This window comes from Homo sapiens, chromosome 4, assembly GCF_000001405.40.
Source record: "Homo sapiens chromosome 4, GRCh38.p14 Primary Assembly".
Taxonomy (NCBI): Eukaryota; Metazoa; Chordata; class Mammalia; order Primates; family Hominidae; genus Homo; species Homo sapiens.
In genome coordinates this window covers 17955088-17974165 of record NC_000004.12, presented here as the reverse complement: position 1 = coordinate 17974165, position 19078 = coordinate 17955088, and the positions used below count along the sequence as shown (strand labels likewise).

The 19078-nt window shown below is 31.8% G+C and overlaps 1 protein-coding gene across 20 annotated transcripts in view; it reads left to right on the top strand.

Annotated features, from left to right (window-relative positions):
- The window catches only part of LCORL (ligand dependent nuclear receptor corepressor like), a 180689-nt gene that overhangs the window by 47710 nt on the left and 113901 nt on the right, over nucleotides 1-19078 (top strand). For 15 of the 20 annotated variants that reach the window (NR_158566.1, NR_158563.1, NR_158564.1 and 12 more), the window contains exons 2-4: nucleotides 1281-1346; nucleotides 11117-11196; nucleotides 12134-12263. Coding sequence is in view for 11 of the 20 variants with exons in the window: in XM_017007965.2 (XP_016863454.1) it covers nucleotides 1281-1346; nucleotides 11117-11196; nucleotides 12134-12263 (276 nt within the window). In the remaining 9 variants the exon portion in view is untranslated. Of the gene's footprint in view, nucleotides 1-1280; nucleotides 1347-11116; nucleotides 11197-12133; nucleotides 12264-13854; nucleotides 13902-19078 lie in introns of all 20 variants that reach the window. The other 5 variants (NR_136669.3, NR_158568.1, NR_158567.1 and 2 more) reach the window with 2 other exon arrangements.

The window sequence follows — 19078 nt, the reverse complement described above, 5'->3', positions numbered from 1 at the left end:
GCACGTTGATGACAGAAAAATAGAGTATCTTCTACTCTAAAATAGAATAACCCTTCTATAGAAGGATTTGGGCTTAATCTGTCTGAGTCTCTACCCAGTATGATAGCTTGCTCGAGTAGTAGGTAGTTCATTCACTTTTTTACCAGGAAATTTCTACTCATGGGAACTAGTACTGTCATTTCACAGAAGATTTTATTTCATTACATATTTACCAAGTATCATGATAGCTACCTTACTTTGTGAAATCTAAGACATTATTAGTTGTAGGATGCATCAGTAGTTCATGTTTTATTAAATGAAAAACTGTGGCTAGTTTTTTACTATGACAGTAGATTCTAAGATGAGTCTTGATTTTGGAGATGTTAATGTTTTTCAAAAGCATCTTATAACTTATGAAATATTTCTATAGAAGTATTAATAATGTTTTACATTTTAGGAATACCACTGAGAAAATCTACTTTTTCTTTGATTTATAGGGTCTGTCATGCCATGTTTAGTTTTTTCCTCCCAAATCCACACACGGCTTACATTATTTCCTTTTCTTAGCTTCTCAATTATTTTGCCATCAGGATCATATTTTTTTTTGGATGTCTGTAGTTGATTGTTGCTTAAAATTAAATATGTTACAGACTTCAAAGTTGAAAATTGTAAAATCTTAAAACTAGTATATCCAGAAAGTGGAATACTTGGGAAATGCATAAACTAGGGTTTTGTTAACTTGGTAAGATTTTCAGTAATTTTTTTTACCTAAAATTTAGGGCAGTCTATAGCAATGACCAAATTGTTGTGTTTTGATTTTTACAAGTAGGTTTAAATTTTATACATCATATGTTTAACAGAAAGATTTCTCCCTATTGACCCTCATTTACTCATTCTTGTAATTGATGTTAAAGATGCTATTTTTCATGTTTACTTTTTTAAAACAAACATAAACAATTATGTGTCTTCTAATTATTCTTCCCCTCTCTGCAAGATTATTACATACAAAATCTGCCCATAATATTTTACCCAGGAATACTTATAAATGATAAAGTTGTTTAGTTGTTTTAGTAGTGAATATTTCCATTTTGATATTTTAATTTCTTTACAGTCATGTAATTTCTGGTAGTCATTGTGTGACTGTTATGTTGTATATTGCCTACTTCAGTTTAATGCAGCTAGAGGAAAAATATTTATGGTATGTTAAATTAATTTGCTGATTGATACAGAGTTTATGACTTTAAATTGTAAAATGTAACTTTTCTAGTAGTTAATATACTTTTCTCTCTCTAAAAACACAGGTTTTGAGAGTATTTTAGAAGGGCTTTATGGACCACGGCTACGAAGAGACCTCAGTTTATTTGAAGGTAATTTTTAAAATTTTATTTAAAAGTTGTCATTTCCCATCCTATTTAACAAATGAAAAATTGTTGTTCTATACTAACTTTATATTAAACATGAATTTATGATCCAATTTAATTAGAAAATATTTTAAAATTAATAAAGTAATCCAGATATTTTTATTACATACCATATTTTTAAAAAATTTTATATACTAAATCAAAATAGAAAATAAAGCTTGTTTGGAGGTCAATGGTGTAATTTAATTTTTGTTGTTTTATTGATTCTACGCCCTAACTTACTCTTAAATAAGATTTAAATAAATAAATGTTAATTAAATTGAGTTAGGTAATTGCTTAATCAAATTATTAAACTTTAATTGAATTATTTAATTGATTCAATTTAAATGTTCAATTGAATAATTGCCTTCTAAAAAGCTATCACCCATTTTTACTTTTGTTTGTTCTTTTAATATTTGTCTTAGTGAAACACGTGAATATTGGGAAGGAAGAAACAATGGCTAAGTGAACTAATATATTGACTCCTTTTATTTGTTTTTGTTAGGACATGTCTTTCTAATATCTGAAGAGCTAGAGTTGTAAAACATTTTTTAAATGAGGAATTTATAGAAAATATTGAGTAGAAGTCAGGAGATTAATTTTTTCTAGTTTTACTGAGTTTGGCAGTCACTTTAGTCACCTAAACCTGTAAGGTCAACATATTTCTAACCTATAAACTTGTCTCTTCACTGGCATAGTTTTCAAAATTAAATAGAGCCTTTTTTGCTATTGTTCAAAGGAGAAGTGTCCTTGGTAGTGGTATTGTAGCAATGATGCTAATATTTGATCAATTAAAAAAATTTTTTTAACTTAACATGAATACATTTCTTATTAGGCGTGACCTGCTTTGATTTTTTTTCAACTATCATATCCAAGGGATATTACTAAGTAGTAACTTAAAAGATTTTCTTAATTTCTTAATATAAATTTTAAATATTGAGTACAATTTATTATTTTAGGATGTTCCCAAAGTGTTACATACTGCTTATAAATTTTTTAATTATCATTATATTTTATACAGTTTAGGCCAAAGAACAAGTTTACTATCAGATTGAAAGTATTTTTAATGATAAAATCTAATGCTTTTAAAGTATGGTTGGGAAAAGGATTTTTTGTGTATTAATGCAATTTTGAGCTCCTAAGTATTACTAGTACAGCCATTCTAAAAGAAGCAGTTTTATCAATAAATATTCAAAGCCAAAAAAAAACACATAACTACACTGTATTTTTAGGTATCACAAGAAAATAATCAAATAAGTATGCAAAAGATGTATTCTGTATAAGGCTGCTCATTATAGGTCATTCAAAGCTGTTTCTAGTGTTTTTTTTTTGCTATTATGTATTTAAAAAGGGGCTATTTAATATTTTATATTTATAATTCGGATATATGCAGATATTAACAGTTATGTTGTTGAGTTTATTAATGATGTGGAAGAATTGTTAGACTGAAGAAAAGCAAGTGCAGTGTATATATACTGTATATTGACTCATTCTATTTTTGTAAACAAAACAAAAACGAGAAAAGTGTGTATATTTTAGACTAGAAAGAAAAGACACCAAAATGTTTGTCGTGGTTATATTTGAAATATGGATTATGGATAGTTATGGTTTCCTTTTATATATGTGGCTTTTTCCAAAATCAAACATGTGTTATATAATTTTTAAAATATGAAAATTATGAAACTTTTAAATAGCACACTTCGTATTTTTCTTACTGAAACTCTTACCAGTATTGGAAAGGGAGGTCTATGGCTGAGACCTCCCTTAGAGCGTTATCTATTTTTACCAACAATTAGTTTTTCCAGTCATTTTGATCATATTATATGTGTAATGCTAGTGTGGAATATCAGATGAACTTTATCCAATATTATAAATTACAGAACCATAAAGGAAATAGAATTTTATTTGGGTTCTCATATGTATAAACACTTTCTTTGACATATAACCTGTGTTTTCTTAAACTGTCCTTGGGAAGGGAATGGGATCTTGCAAGAATATAGGAACATAGCATGTTTTCAGTCTTTCCCATGAGGTTTTCAGAGAACTTGTGGATTATCTTAAATGTATTGCAACAGCTTTAAGGCCTTTGAGGTTCTCAAACCTTGAAGACAAGGATATGGCATTAAACCTTGTATTCGTAGCAACTGGTCAGTGCTCAAAAGTGCCTTTATTGCCCATTGAAGCCCTTGGGCTCCTGGCTGCTGTCTGGCAATGTAGGTTACAGGTTTGCAGCTGTTATGTTCTATTTCTCATGATACAGGCAGCGTGGAACTTGGATTGCCACTCCAAGAAATACTACCTTGTGTATTCAGAGTTTTATATTTTACATTAGATTGTTTGTTATTTATTATAGCCTTCTCTTCCAAAGGCTCTAGCTCAGATACTCTTGGAAGCTTTTGATCTGTGATGTAATTGCAATACCACATAAACAGGTTAGCTGTTTTATAGCTTGCTTGGAAATGTAGAGCACAAGGAGAGAACATTTTTGTAGATATATCTGAAATGTTATAGTACAATTCATTTACAAAATGAGTAGTGTTGGTTTAGATTTTCTGCTTTGGTTTTTGATTGAGCTATTTCTGGATCTTCTATCTGGTCAGTTTTATGTGCTGTTGCTACTTTCCACCGTACTATGGTACTTTCCATTCTATTGAGACACAAAGTATCTCTAAGGATCCTTCTCTCTTTTGTATAAATACATGTTTTAAGTTAAGGAAGTGATAGTGGTGATAGAAGTTTTCTGCTTGTCTTTGTTAATGTTGAGCAGGGTAATTCAGTTTTGAATCACAAAGCTGAAAGTACATACGAAAGATATCCCAGCAATATATTACCAGTCAGATGGAATGATAGCCATACACAACACGACTTTAAGGGTGGAGACTCCAAAATGTACCCATTCCAGTGTTTTATTATTCTTATGGCTTAAGAGAGCTTTTTTTCTGAAATCTCTTAATTTTAATCATTTCTTATTTTAACATAGTTTTGCACTGAATTAAGTATTTTTATCTGAAATATTTAAGCAATGCTAATTTTAGTTTAACCAGTTTTTCTGCTGAGTTTACGAATGAACAAAGGAAAAATCTAAAGAATCAAGAATTTAACCCATGCTTGATGTTTCTTCAGCCATCCTTCAGGATAATATAATTCTTGTATATTCTTGTATATTATCCTGAATTCTTTTTAGTTATGAAATTAAATGCGTATTATATACATTTAAGTTAATTATACTTTTAGTTTGCAAACCTACTGTTTTCTCTTGAAAAATATATTCTAAAGTTCATCCTACTACCTTAAAAATCAACGTTGGCACAGCATTTTAAAGGTAAAGACTTTTTATCTTACACGCTAGTGTTTTGAGAGGTTTACATTTTAATTTTTGAATTTAATTCGCAACCACCTCCAGATTGAGTGGTTTTGAAAGAAACTTTTGAGTGCTGCTTATTTTTAATTTGTTAGAAACAAAATCTTCTTTAGTCTGTCTTATGACTGTCCTTATGAAGAAAGCATAACTATTCTCTCTTTTTGGAGTGAGGTCTCCAAGAAGTCACAAACTTCACACATTGGTGTACTTTTAGAAGAGTTCCCAGTACTCTATGCCTGTCTTGCTCCTCCATCTACCCTAACTGCACTTCTGGTGTCATAGGACTTTTTAATCAAAAACTACTCATTTCCTACCTTAGTTAATCTTTTATGTCTTATTGGTAGGCCAGTTTCTTTCATCTGGTTGGGGCCATCTGATTTTATATACCTGACTGTGTATATTTACAAAAATATGAATAGATTGTATGTGGCATGAACCTCAATGCATTAGGCCTGTAGAAACTGATAAATGCTTACTGTTTTTTCTCTAGGTGTGGCAACATATCAAAGGCATTATTTGTATCAGAGATTTGCAAGTTACAGCATGTGGGCTAAATCCAGCTTGTTGACTGTTTTTGAATGGCTTATGAACTAAAAATGGTTCTTACATTTTTTAATGGTTAAAAAAGTTAACATTTCATGAAAATTATATGAAATTCAAATTTAATTTTTCAGTTAATAAAGTTTTATTGGACATAGTCTCACTCATTCCTTGACTATGGCTGCTTTTATACTATAATGATGGAATTAAGTAGTTGTGAAGAGACTGTATGGCTTGCAAAACCTGAAATATTTACTATTTGGCTGTTTATGGAAAAGGTTTGCTGACCCCTGACTTATAATACTGACTGAAATTTAATATACTTGGCTTAATATCATGTTTTCTACCTGTTAACACTATGATGGAGACAACAAAACTACTTTTTAATAACATTTGTTTAATGAAATATTTTGAATGCTTATTTTGTCTTAGATGCTGTGATTAGCAATAAGGAATAAAAGGTGCATAAGTAAGTTCTCTTCTTATTAGGAACTCATGGCCTAGTATTTACTCAGAAGTTGGTAGTTTTCTAATATGAATTGATGATTATTTATATTATACAATTAAAGCCAGAGAATCTAATGTTATTTTTAGTTACAAATTATATTAGCTCTTATCACATATGTATGTTTAAGTTGGTGCAAATGTAATTGTGATTTTTGCCATTACTTTTAATGTTAAAAAGTAATGTCGTTAAAAAGTAATGTCAATAAAAAGTAATGGCAAATGGCCGGGTGCAGTGCCTCACACCTATAATCTCAGCATTTTGGGAGGCCGAGGCAGGCAGATCACTTGAGGTCAGGAGCTTGAAACCGGCCTGGCCAACATGGTGAAACCCCATCTCTACTAAAAATACAAAAATTAGCCAGGTGTAATGGCGGGCATCTGTAATCCCAGCTGCTCAGGAGGCTGAGGCAGGAGAATCGCTTGAACCTGGGAGGCAGAGGTTGCAGTGAGCCGAGATTGTGTCACTGCACTCCAGCCTGGGCAACAGAGTGGAACTCCATCTCAAAAAAAAAGAAAAGAAAAGAAAAAAAAAGTAATGGCAAATGGCAATTAAAACTAAAGGCAGAAACTGCGATTACCTTTGCACCAACCTGATATTTGATACATACTTATCTGAAGTAAAGACTTACCTGAGTATATTCATCATAATGCTTGTAATACAAAGACTGGAGAAACAGGCTAAATATTCAGTAATAGAATTTGGCTAAATAAATTGTAGTGCATCTTTTTGATGGACTATACTTAACCAAAAATTACTTTGAGTATGGGAAATATTTGTGGTAAATAAGTATAAAGGTATAATATGATTTTAATTTTTTTAACTAAAATATTTTAGAGCAATTTTAAATTTACAGAAAAAATTGAGTAGAAAGTACAGAGAGTTTCCATGTACTCTCTTTCCTCTGCCTTCAGGTCCCTGTATATTAGCATATTTTATTGAACCCAATTGATAAATTATTATTAACAAAATTCCACAGTTTACATTAGGGTCACTCTATGTGTTGTGCAGTTTTTTGGGTTTTGCCAAATGCATGGTGTCATTGATCCATCATTATAGTATCAGACACAGTGCATATCACTGCCAAAAACCGTCTTCTAAACTCTACCTAGTCATACCTTCCACTTCCCCAAACCTGTGGCAAACACTAATTTTTTTATGGTCTCTAAAGTTTTGTTTTTTTTAGAATGTCATATAGTTGGAATCATACAGTATGTAGCTTCTAAAGATTTGCTTCTTTCACTTAGAAATGTGCATTTAAGGGTCCTCTATTACTTTTCATGTCTGTTTCTTGATGAATAATATTGCGTTGTATAGATGTACCCACAGTTTGCTTATTCATTCACCTATTGAAACACATCTTGCTCACTTTCAAAATGTGGCTATTTAGAATAAGACTGCTATAAACACAGGCAAATTTTTTTGTGGACAAATTTTTTCAACTCATTTGGGTAAATATTTAGGAGCATCATTGATAGACTATGTTTAGTTTTGTAAGAAACTGTAAGGGTATCTTCAATGGTAGCTGTACCATTTCGCATTCCCACCAGCAATGGATGAAAGTTCCTGTTGCTGCACATCCTCACCAATATTTGATGTCAGTGTTTTGGATTTTAACCATTCTAACAGGTATATAGTGGTATTTCATTGCCTTAATTTGTAGTTCCCTAATGACATGACATTCAGCATCTTTTCATATGCTTGGTTGCCACTATGTATCTTCTTGGGTGATGTATCTATTCAGACAGAGTTTGATATTTGGACAATGATGGATTCGTAGAGTAAGTGAAGACATATTTCCCCTGCTGCTGTTTTTAGAGACAGATTGTATGGAAATCATCTGGGTTGGTGCTTTCTGTTTCAGAAGGTTTTTAATTATTAATTTCTTTAATAGATACAGGGCTGTTGAGGTTATCTATCTTACCTTGTGTGAGATTTGGTAGTTTGTGTCTTCTGAGGAATTGGTCCATTTTATTTAAAGTTATCAAATTTGTGAGCATGATGTTCATAATATTCCTTTATTATCCTTATAATGCCCATAGGATCAGTAGTGATGGCCAGTCTTTCATTTCTAGTATTAAAAATTTGTGCTTTCTCTTTTTTTCTTCATTGGCTAGCCAGATTTGTCTGGAGGTTTATTTTACTGATTTTTTTCCCCAATGAACCAGCTGATCCTAGTTTTTTAAGCGGCATAAAATATAAACTAGAAGAATCTATAACAAAATGTTAATCATTGTCTACGGATGATGGGATTATGAATTTTTCTTTTCTCCTTTGTACTTTTCAATATAGTTAATATGTAATTCCATAATGAAAAATCAGTTTTTAGTTGTATTGCCTAAGGATTAGTATCTTTCCCTCAGACCAATACAGTTATAACCAGTGTTTCATGATCTTCATGAAAAATCTAGCTCAATATTCTTCTTTTTCATTTTTCACTGAACTTTGTCTTTGGAAACGCTAAATTTACAGCCTATGGATTAAAGGGACCAAAAAGCATTAAAACACTCAAAAATTATTTATTAATAATGAGGTTATTTAGAAGAAAATAAAAATTACATCTGTTGAGGTGTTTCACACATGCTTTAATTTTTACTACAGCTTTAACATGTAATTATTATTCTCTTTTTCAAACAAAGAATCTGAAACTCAAGTTAACTTGCCTGACTGAGGCCACATGAGTATGTGGAAAAGCCACAAAAAGTTCAGTACTAGGGTTCTCCTATTTCAAAATCTGGATTAGATAAAATGATTCAAGCCAGATTTTAACTATAAGAGTATATATCCATGGTGGAAAGGTTGATGTTTGTCATTCATTGACTATTAGTTTTAATTATGACGTTACCTTTTACTAATGAAGCTATTTCTATAAGATATATAATTTAACCTCTTTTGAGTTTATGCATTACAGTTTCAAAAAGAGAGATAACATCTTTTAGAGATGAGTATCTTATTCGTTGTTTGAGAGATTAAAATGAATGTTTTATTTCAGCATTTATTTAGTTTTTAATGACATGAAAGATAACCTGGGGAGAGTGAAAATCTGGCCTAGAGTTGATTTTTCAAAAGCTATTTTTCCATGTAGAAAAATGTATCCCACCAAACATCATTTGTTTGGTTTAAAATAAAAAGTTAATATAGAAAGAGTGATTAAATATTTGTAAGTAAAGCTATAAAGCTATACATTTTGAATTCAGAAAAATTTAATGGTCTTTATATTCAATTGATTATTCATTGCCATTTATTTGACTGTGTAAACATTTGTTGTAATTAACATTTTCTTGAAGAACTCCTAAAATATCTAAAATAAGTGACAATCTCAGGATGCCTTGATATTATCTTACAACTGGCAATTGTCTTAATCTAAAATTGTTGGCCCTTGATTGAGGATATTTATCACTGAAACTTTATGAAACCGTACAGCTATTTTTTAAAAATACCCCTTCCCGAAGCCTACAAGCTATTTTCCAAAAATTCTTTAATGAGACACTGATTTAAAGAAAAAAAAAAAAAAGGGCAGTAAGATTTCCTTGACCTATCAGAATTATGTTACGCTTGGCATAGGAATCATGTTTTTGGCACAACAGTTCCAAAACAACTCCAAAATCTTTTGCACGCTTATGGGTGATCTGGTTCAGCTGGACTTCAGGCTGTGAGTGGGGAATAACATCTTCACATGAGCGTGAGGTCCCAAGTTCTTCTTACGTTGTATGGTGATTCTGTCCTAGTGAGGGGGTGAAAGTTTGAAACCTACGTAAGCCTACATAGCTACAGTTCTATAGGAGCTGGGTTTTTAATTATATAGAATGTTGAAACTTTTTGATTTGTCAGGTTTTACAGAAGGTGACCAGTTTTCTTAATTAAAATTTAATTAAAATCTTTCTGCAAACTGACCTTATTAAATCACATACAATCATATAGGATTAAAAAATAACGACTGGTAATTCTGTCTTGTTTATAACTGGCTTTTGTATGGTGCTTCATAGTTTATAAAGTATTTTTACATTTTTTCATTTAATCCATAAATAAGTTAGATGATGTGATCCTTATTCACATACAAGGTAATTAAAACAACTTTGTGGCTTGAAAAGCTTAAACTAGTAATTGAGATTCCACCCCACATTTTCAGAAACTTCAAATCTAGTTATCTTTCCATTACCCTACACCGCATCTTAATTTCCATTCCCTGCTCTGTCCAAGTTTATGTAGATATTAGTAATAAGTTTGTGTACTACTGCAGAAATTAAAGGGAGTTGTTATTATGTTCTTTATATTCCAACATATTATCTTCTTTTCTGATCAGTGTTTCTGAGTTGATTTAGGGGAGTCCTAGCTACTGATCCTAACTAGTATTTATTCATTAGCATTTCAAAAAAAGAAAAACTTTATTATCTGTGCATTTTAGCAGAGATGTGTATTCAACTTCATCATGTATTTCAAAAGTATGAAAATTGCAGTGATAGACCAGTGTTTTTCAAATCAGTCACAGTATAGCTGCCTTAGATGATAATGGTTTTTATGTTTGAGGTTCTGCATATGAATTTATTTGGGAATAGAAATTGGGGAGAGTTTCTGCTGCAAGGGTTAAGTTTTAAAATCATGTCTATGCCAGATATATTTAGGATGACAATATTATTATGCCTTCATAAAATTCAGTAGGAACTATTTTAGTTTTCCAGAAATTCTCTAATATATTACGACAGTTGGATTATAAGGAATATTCTTCTGGAAAAAAAAAATCTATGTTTTATATTAAATAATATACCTTATTTGTTTACCTGATTTTTACTCTTAATTCTTGCAACAAAGCCTTTAAACAATTTAATAAAAATCTGTTCTGACTTTTGAGCTATAGACTTTTACTTGTTTTCTTGGGCATCATTCCATTTTCTGAAATCTGTGGGCTTTTCTAGTGCTTTCTTCTATTTCTCTATTTTATGTTGTCTTTCATGGTGTGCAAAGTTTATTTCCTCCAGATATCTCCCCCTTTGTTCTGATTCCTTTCATAGCAAAAATAAAATTAAAGCACAATGATAAGTTGAATCTTTCAGAAAGTTAGATGATATTTAAAACCCTATTGTTGGAAAATTGTTAATTTATAACCAGCTCATTGTTCTTGCTATTTTGTCCCATAATAGTGCAGATTACTCTCCTTACAGCCTTCTCTGTTTATTTCTAGATGTTGTGAGTTTAATTTTAAAGTTAGTTCTTCTCCCATTACTGTTAGTTTTTTAAAAATTATTATTATGTGAGCCATTGCTGTGGAGAGTGGTAATTTTATTTGTTTTAATAAAGTTAGTATATTTAATGAATTTTTTCCCTCTTTTAAAGACTGTGAACCAGAAGAGCTGACTGACTGGTCTATGGATGAAAAATGTTCATTTTGTAACCTACAGAGAGAAGCAGTCAGTGTAAGTTTTAGTGCTATGAAATTATCTTTAAACTAATGCACAATTGTAACACAGTTTTTTTTTTATCTTAATTTGTTTTGAAAATTTGTGACTCACAGTGGAAGTTTAAGTATTTGATTTTGGTAAACGAAAATAATATTTTAAAGTCATATTAGAAATCTAACATTTAGCTTAACTTGCAGGTGAAAATCCTAGAAAACTCATCTTTTTTTTTACTTATTTATTTCACATTTCTTTCTTACTCTTACTTACCCTGACTCATTAAGTTTAGTTCAGGTCTATTTTGTATTTAGGTATAGAGGGATGAGCTTGAAGGCCTACTTTGGTCTGAGACCACCCTACAATCTGATTTCTTAGAAATTAATAGTAGGGGAATAATGTGCTGTTTTAGCCTTTCACTTACTCTTGAAGTCTTTTGGATATCATAATTATCTCCTGTGTAAATGATGAAATATGTAAGTGTCTACTGTATACGGGGCATAAACTATGCAACCAGCATCTTCTTGTGTGGTGGGAAATTCTGATTTCTTTTCTACTGTTGTGAGAAGGGCTGAGAAGAATTGAAAACTTGAGAACCTGTACCAATTTTGGTCAGATTAGTGGGTAAACACATCTGCTTTGTTGTTAAAACTCTCCGATAGGATTGCATTACTGGCATGCCAATATAGTGAATTTATTCACCAGTATGTTTCATATGCTCTTTTTTTTTTTTTTGACTGTAGTTTTGCTAAGGAATAAGGTTATTTTGACTCTCTATCAGAGCTATTTCTTTTTTCCTGACTCATTCTGAATTTTATGTTCCCTCTATCTAATTTGATACAATTTAAAGAGCAGAACAAATGGGCATTTAGAGCATTAATTTTTTGTCATTTTTAATGGAATTCCATGTTTGAATTAAAAAATAATTCTGTATGTTGTTGTTTTCTTATACTTTTAGGATTGTATACCATCTCTTGATTCTTCACAGTCAACACCAACAGAGGAGCTATCATCTCAGGGCCAGTCCAACACTGATAAGATTGAATGCCAAGCAGAAAATTACCTAAATGCACTCTTTCGAAAGAAAGGTAATATTGGTATGCTTTGTCATTTAAAATTTGCAATAGAGATGTAAAATGTTGGAATTTTTTTACACAAAAGTTTTTTATATGTCAGTCTCTCTACTTCACTCTTTATTGTTTCTTTATTCTTAATTTTTCTTTATATTTTTAGGGACAGTAGGAGTCTCAATCATTCTAGTACTAGTCTTGTATTAGGCATTCCTGTTCAGCATTCTATTTTCAAGTATCTCTCTGACTTTATCACACATTTTCCTCATCTATTATAGGAACCTTTAAAAATTTTTCTTATGCTTCTGGTCTTCCTTATTGTATTGCTGTCTTGAACACTTCAAAATTTGTTTGATGTTCAATAAGTTACAGATATATAATATTATATTGCAAAGCTATGCCTGATAATGTAATAGTGAAATCACTTATCAGCTTGGTTGGAGTATATTTGCTGACTTGCTATTTCAATATTTATTTGGTAACTTTAATTTGCTTAGTAGACATTAAAAAAATCAATGTTCTTTTTTATTTCTTGTCTCTCCAAACTACTCAAACCAAATAGCTTTTGTTTTACTTGTTCCCTTACTTTACACTCATGTATCAAGCAGTAGTAGTTTTTATATTTTAGTTACTTGGGAGAATTAGAGAAATGTAGGACCTTTCATGTTTTGTTCTTGGCTGTTCCCACAGTAATAGAGTGTCTTATTTTTACCACCTGGACCTTTGGATTAAGTTATGGTGCATGTTTAGGTTGGGGGATTATTCTCTCTCTCAACTTTGAGATTAAGAAAACATTACCATATTGTCATCATCTACTTGTTGACCCTATTTTACTCCTCTTTGGAATGAGATATCACTAGATATTTTTCTACTAAATTGATAACTTTCATGTTTAAATCAATAATGTTTAAAATAGTACTTGACTGTGATACAAGAGTCTTTTGTTTAGTCTTAAGTGTTCTAAGTTCTTTTATATGTTGGAATATGGAAATCCTCTTATTAGAAGAGTCTTAATATAATTTAAAGGCCTAAAATTAAGAACTATAATTTTTAAGAGCAAGAGACTGAAAATCTTTTCCTTTGTGTTACTGTTGAGAAATCTGCATTATCTTTAAAAATCAAATCTTTTTTCAAAATTTTTAGTACAGTGTTAAAAATGTTTTATGGCCAGGTACAGTGGCACGTACCTATAGTCCCAGCTAACAGGTGGGCTGAGGTGGGAGAATTGCTTCAGCCCATTTGTTCAAGGCCAGACTGGGCAACAAGACCCCATCTCTTTAAAACAATAATTTTACATACTTTCTTTAAGGATTTTGTAACATTAATGTAGAAAATTTTATTCTGTTAGTATTCACTTACAGGAAAAATTATGTTATCAGACTTGTATCACTAAGAGAACTGGAAGAAATATACACATTTACACACATGCACACAGTAAGTTTCATTTACCTTGGAAGTCATTACTCAGTCTCTTTTTCCTTTGAGTCATTTGTAATGGTAATAACTAGAATTATCAATAATAATAGCCTTTAATTTTTGATATTATGGAGTTAGCCTATGCTCCATTGCCCTATTAAGAGTAATCAGTAAAAACTTGGTACTATTTCAGCTGATTCAAGCATCTGGGTCTCCAAGAGGTCTCCTACCAATGGTTGGGTGAGTGTTCTTGGATATTTAGTGACCTCTCCATTTCTGGATTTCTTCAACATCTTTTGAAAGATTGCAGAGTTTTTAAATTAAAGATTCTTCTTAGTGTTTTTGCTTTATTTTAGGCCTTTGTTAATTTCTTTATTTGTAGTTCATCACTTTCCAGATTTAATTAAACATAAAAGTTTTTCTGCTTGTTTACTTGGGCTTTTTAAATTTGCTTTCAATAAAATCATTTTAGAGATTTCCAAATGGTCTGACCAAGATGGGGCTAGAAGATAGTAACAATATCTTTTAAATGGTCTTAACTCCTTTGTTAGTTTGCCATTTGAGTTCTACTATTAACTCTACTTTGAAGTAAAAGGCAAGAAATATTATTTTAAAGACAGGAAATACTTCTGAGTCTTTGGAGTAGTATTATGACGTGTTGTTAAAACATCTTTTTAGTGCAGATTTTTTTTCCCTGAAAATATCCCAAATGCAATCATTTTTAGGGATCCTGGATATGGATGGCATTAGTATTCCTGGTACTTTAAATCTTTTGCTTAGTTTGAGGAACATGTGCATGTTGATCATCTTGCTAAAACACAAAGAAATCTTCTAATATCCTTATGGTAACTAATTTATTGTCTTTCCCAACTTATGCTTTTTGAGATGGTGCTAATGATAAATATAAGCTATTACTATTGAGAATATCACTACCTGGGATAATGATGATGATTGATATCATCAGTTGTGATTGAGCACTAAACCTTTTTTATGCTCTATCTCATTTAATGCCAAAACAATATTAAGAGGGTAAGTACTGTTTAACAGGTAGGAACTGTGAAGCTCAGAAAAGTTAAATACCATGATTTTTAGCTCTGTGTGCTGAACATTTGAGCCGTCCAGAAGAAGTTCAAAAAATGAACAGTGTTCTGTGTGAGGAGCACCTAGACTCTTTTAAGTACTAAGTAGAAAACACTTCCCATTCTCCACTAGTTAGCAGACTAGGATTAGAATTATTTTATTTGAATTAAGCAGACTAGAGAGGAACTATGGGGAATACTCTATATTTCTTATAGGTTTCTATTTTTTCTTCATGTGGCCTCTGAACAATTTCAGTGATTAATTCCCTTATAGTGCTTAATAATAAATAGGTTGTAGGAATGCCACTGGCATTAAACCGTCTCAAGACTGGAAGAAGCGTATTACTTAAATACAGCTCAAGCAATTCATTGTATTTAGAAGCTAGTCAAAAATACTCTTTCAGGGTTGAATAAGTCAAATGCAGAGGAGGATGTTCTAGGACAAAGGTGAACTTTAACTAATTTTGTATATTCTTTACTTTAGAAATGTTTAAAAACTGAATTCCTTCTAGAGGTTAACACTAAAATTAACTAGAGTGCTAGAGTAGAATGAAAATCTCCATAATAACAGGGACTTTGTTTTGTTTATTGCAGAATCTCGGCAACTAGGACTGTACCTGCATGTTAGGTCCTGAGTTAGTATTTCTTGGGTGAATAAATGAATACTAAGATAAACTCTACCTAGATAGATATCTTTCAGTTTCTCAGAATATTCGGTAGTATTAGTACTTCCTTTGTTCGTTTTGAAGAAGTAAATTATTTTGTACGTACATATAGTTAACCTTTCTCTGCTTTGTACTTAAAGTATTACTGTGTATAGTTTGAATATCAGCCAGTTTGTTTGGAATGTTGATAAACATAGGCATATAGATATAAAATGCCTTGTTTACAGATATCCTTATGAAATGTAAACTAAGTTATTTTGGCCTTTAGCTGCAGATTCTCTAATCACCTGAAATGTTTAAGTCACTGGCTTATGATTCAGGAAGATGTCTCATCTTTTATTTTTAAATTGAAGGCTGCTGGACTGGACTAAATTGAACAGATAATATGTACATAGTAGCTGAACGAATCATACTGCTATCTATATAACAAAGTCATCCTTCATCAAAATGTAATATGTTTTTCCTGCTTTTTTTTTTAATACCCACACATGCTTAGCATTCACGTACCCACAATTCTGTTTTTTTCCTGAAGGACCTTCTTGATGGATTTGATGCCGTTAGTTGAAAGCTCCTATTAACAAACTCTTTTCCCTTAAGTTAATTGATAGCCAGGTTTTATATTAAAAACCTTTTTATTTTCCCGTGCCTTTTGGGAACACTGACCCTTTTCCTTTTAAACTGTTAATGTTTTGTTTTGTACTCTAGCATGATATAAATACTAGTATGGTTCATTAACCAGTTGGGTTATGACTGATGATAAAGTAATTGATTTCTTAAAAACAGGTAGTGTTAATCTTTTAGAGTGCTTTTCTCTAAATGCAGACATCCTTGATTGACTATGTAAATTTAACATGATTCATTCAGGCCTTAAGTGTTTCTTAGTAAGTGTTCCTTTGTGATGTCATCGTGGTCATACTTTGAATTTCTCTTATATAGGTTGCCCTTTTGGAACTCTCAGGGAATTGTAATTGCCATAAAATAACTGATATACCATTATGAGCTGCATTTAGAGGTGTTCATGAAAAGATTTTTCTTCTTTTCTTACCAGGTACCTGTAAGATAGTAAACAAATTCTAAGAACACACTTAAAATTAGAACTGGATTGAAGACTTTTTACATTTCTGATAAAAATCTCCCTTTTATTTGCAAGTCCATCCATAGAAGGAATTAAAGGAAATCTACCAGTTCATCCCATCATCACCCAGATTCTCCTCTTCCTTTGGCTTTTTAATTCCCTAATTTGACCCAGTCTCCTACCCCTTTACAATCACCCAAATTCTTTCTACTTTGTCTTCTGGAGCTTCTGGTCTTCCATCAACAGAATCCCTCAGTCTCTTCTCTGAGTGTTCCTCTTTCTTTATTGCTCTAATTGAAACTTATGTGTTCATAAAGGATGCTTTTGTAGACTTCTCACTTGCTATTGTTTTTAATTCCTTACTTTATGTAACATAAGGAGGCAACTGGCAGGCAACTTTCAAGATCTTTATATCTGCCCTGCTTGATCAAAACCGTAACCTTCTTTGAAGCCATGGCATTAAAGTATTCCATCTACATTTTTGTCTCTACCAGGCTTTTTGCTTTCTTCCTCCCAAATACTATTCCCATCATAGCTCATGTTGACTTCAAATTCTATGTAGCTGATACATCCAACACCCTGGCCTCTCCATTACTTGATTTCTTCATTTCCAACGCTGTTTTCCTTTATTCTACTCTAGCCACCTTTTCCCACATTCCTATACCTTTATCACCTCCCAAATCTAATTTTACCTATCCCTTTTTCTGACTACCATCTTATCCCAATACTCTCATTCCAATATTTATTTTTTATTTATTGTACTGATACATAATATTTATACATATTTACAGGATACATGTGATATTTTGATACATGTATACAATGTGTAATAACAAATTGGGGTATTTAGAATATCCATCACCTCAAATAGTTATTTTTGTGTTGAGAACATTTCACATCTTTGCTTCTATTTTGAAAAATACAATATATTGTTATTAACTGTAGTCACCCTACTGTACCATCAAACACTAAAACTTATTCCTTCTAGCTAACTGTGTAGGTTTGTACCCAACCTTTTCATCCCCTCCCACCCTTCCCAGCCTGTGATAAATATCATTTTACTCTCTACCTCTATGAGGTCAGCGTTTTCTTAAGCTCCCACATATGAATGAGAACATGTGATATATGTCTTTTTGTGCCTGGCTTTTTTCATTTAACATAATGGCTGTCCAGTTCCATCCATTTTGCTGCAAACGGCAGGATTTTATTCTTTTTATGGCTGAATAGTATTCCATTATGTAGATATACCACATTTTCTTTATCCATTCATAGACATTTAAGTTGAATTCATAACTTGGCTATTGTGAATAGTACTGCAGTAAACATGGGGATGCAGGTATCTCTTTGATATACTGATTTCTTTTCCTTTGGGTAGATACCCAGTAGTGGGGTTGCTAGATTGTATGGTAGTTCTATTTTTAGTTTCTTGCGAAACCTCCGCACTATTTTCTATAGTGGCTGTACAATGTACACTCCCAGAAACTGTAAAAGAGTTGCCTTTCCTCTTCACACAAGCCAGCATTTGTTATTATTTGTCTTTTTTATAATACCCAGTCTAACTGGGGTAAAATGATGTCTCACTGTGGTTTTGAATTGCATTTATTTCCCTGGTGATTAGTGATGTTGAACATTTTTTTCATATGCCTGTTGTCCATTGGTGTGCTTTCTTTTGCGAAATGTCTATTCAGGTCATTTGCCCACTTTTTAATGGGATTATTTATGCAGGTATCCAGTCTTTTTTCACCTCATTGCAGCCTTCAATGTATAGACCACACCACTTTCACTGTTGACTATCTCCTCATGATTTCACTTCTCTCTGTACTCAGTTCAGATACTGTGCTTGATAACCATGATCATTTTTCATGTAAGATCTTAACTCCCTTTCCTCTCTTTGCCTTTGTCATATTTAACACTCAGAATCTTATCTGTGTTTTAATTCAGTTCTCTTTTACTACACACTTACTCTAGAATAGCTGAACTTGATGAGGAAAACATCCAATCATGCTGTTTTTCTAAGTCTCCTTTATTTAGTCGATTTCCTCTCTTATAGGAAGTTATTTTCTCTCTCTCCTCAAACCTCCACCGACTAAAAATTCTCCTTCCTTTTTATAGAACAATCACCTTCTATTATACTATATACTCTACTTATTCTGTTTATTGTTATCTGTTGCCTTCTGCTAGAATATAAGCACCATGAGGAACTGAATTTTTGTTAACTAATATATTTCAAGAACTAGCACACAGTAGGTGTTTAGTAACAATATTTGTTATTGTCCATACTTTTGCCATCTCCACTTTCCACCTTCCCTTCTCTTTTCAATCCATCCTAGTTAGACTTTCTTTCCTACCACTCCACTGAAATTGTTTTATCAATTTCACTGGTAATTCCATCTTGTCCTATTCAAAGGAATGCCAGTCATTTCTCATCTTAGCCTTTCAGCATCGTTTGATAGAGCTGATCACTTTCTTGGTTTCTGGAAAATTATACCCTTTGGATTTTTTTTGCCTTTCTCACAGATTGCTTCTTTCACATGATCCTTGCTGGTTTTCTTCTTCTTGACCTTTAAATGTTGAAGAGCCGTAAGAGTTAGTCCTCAG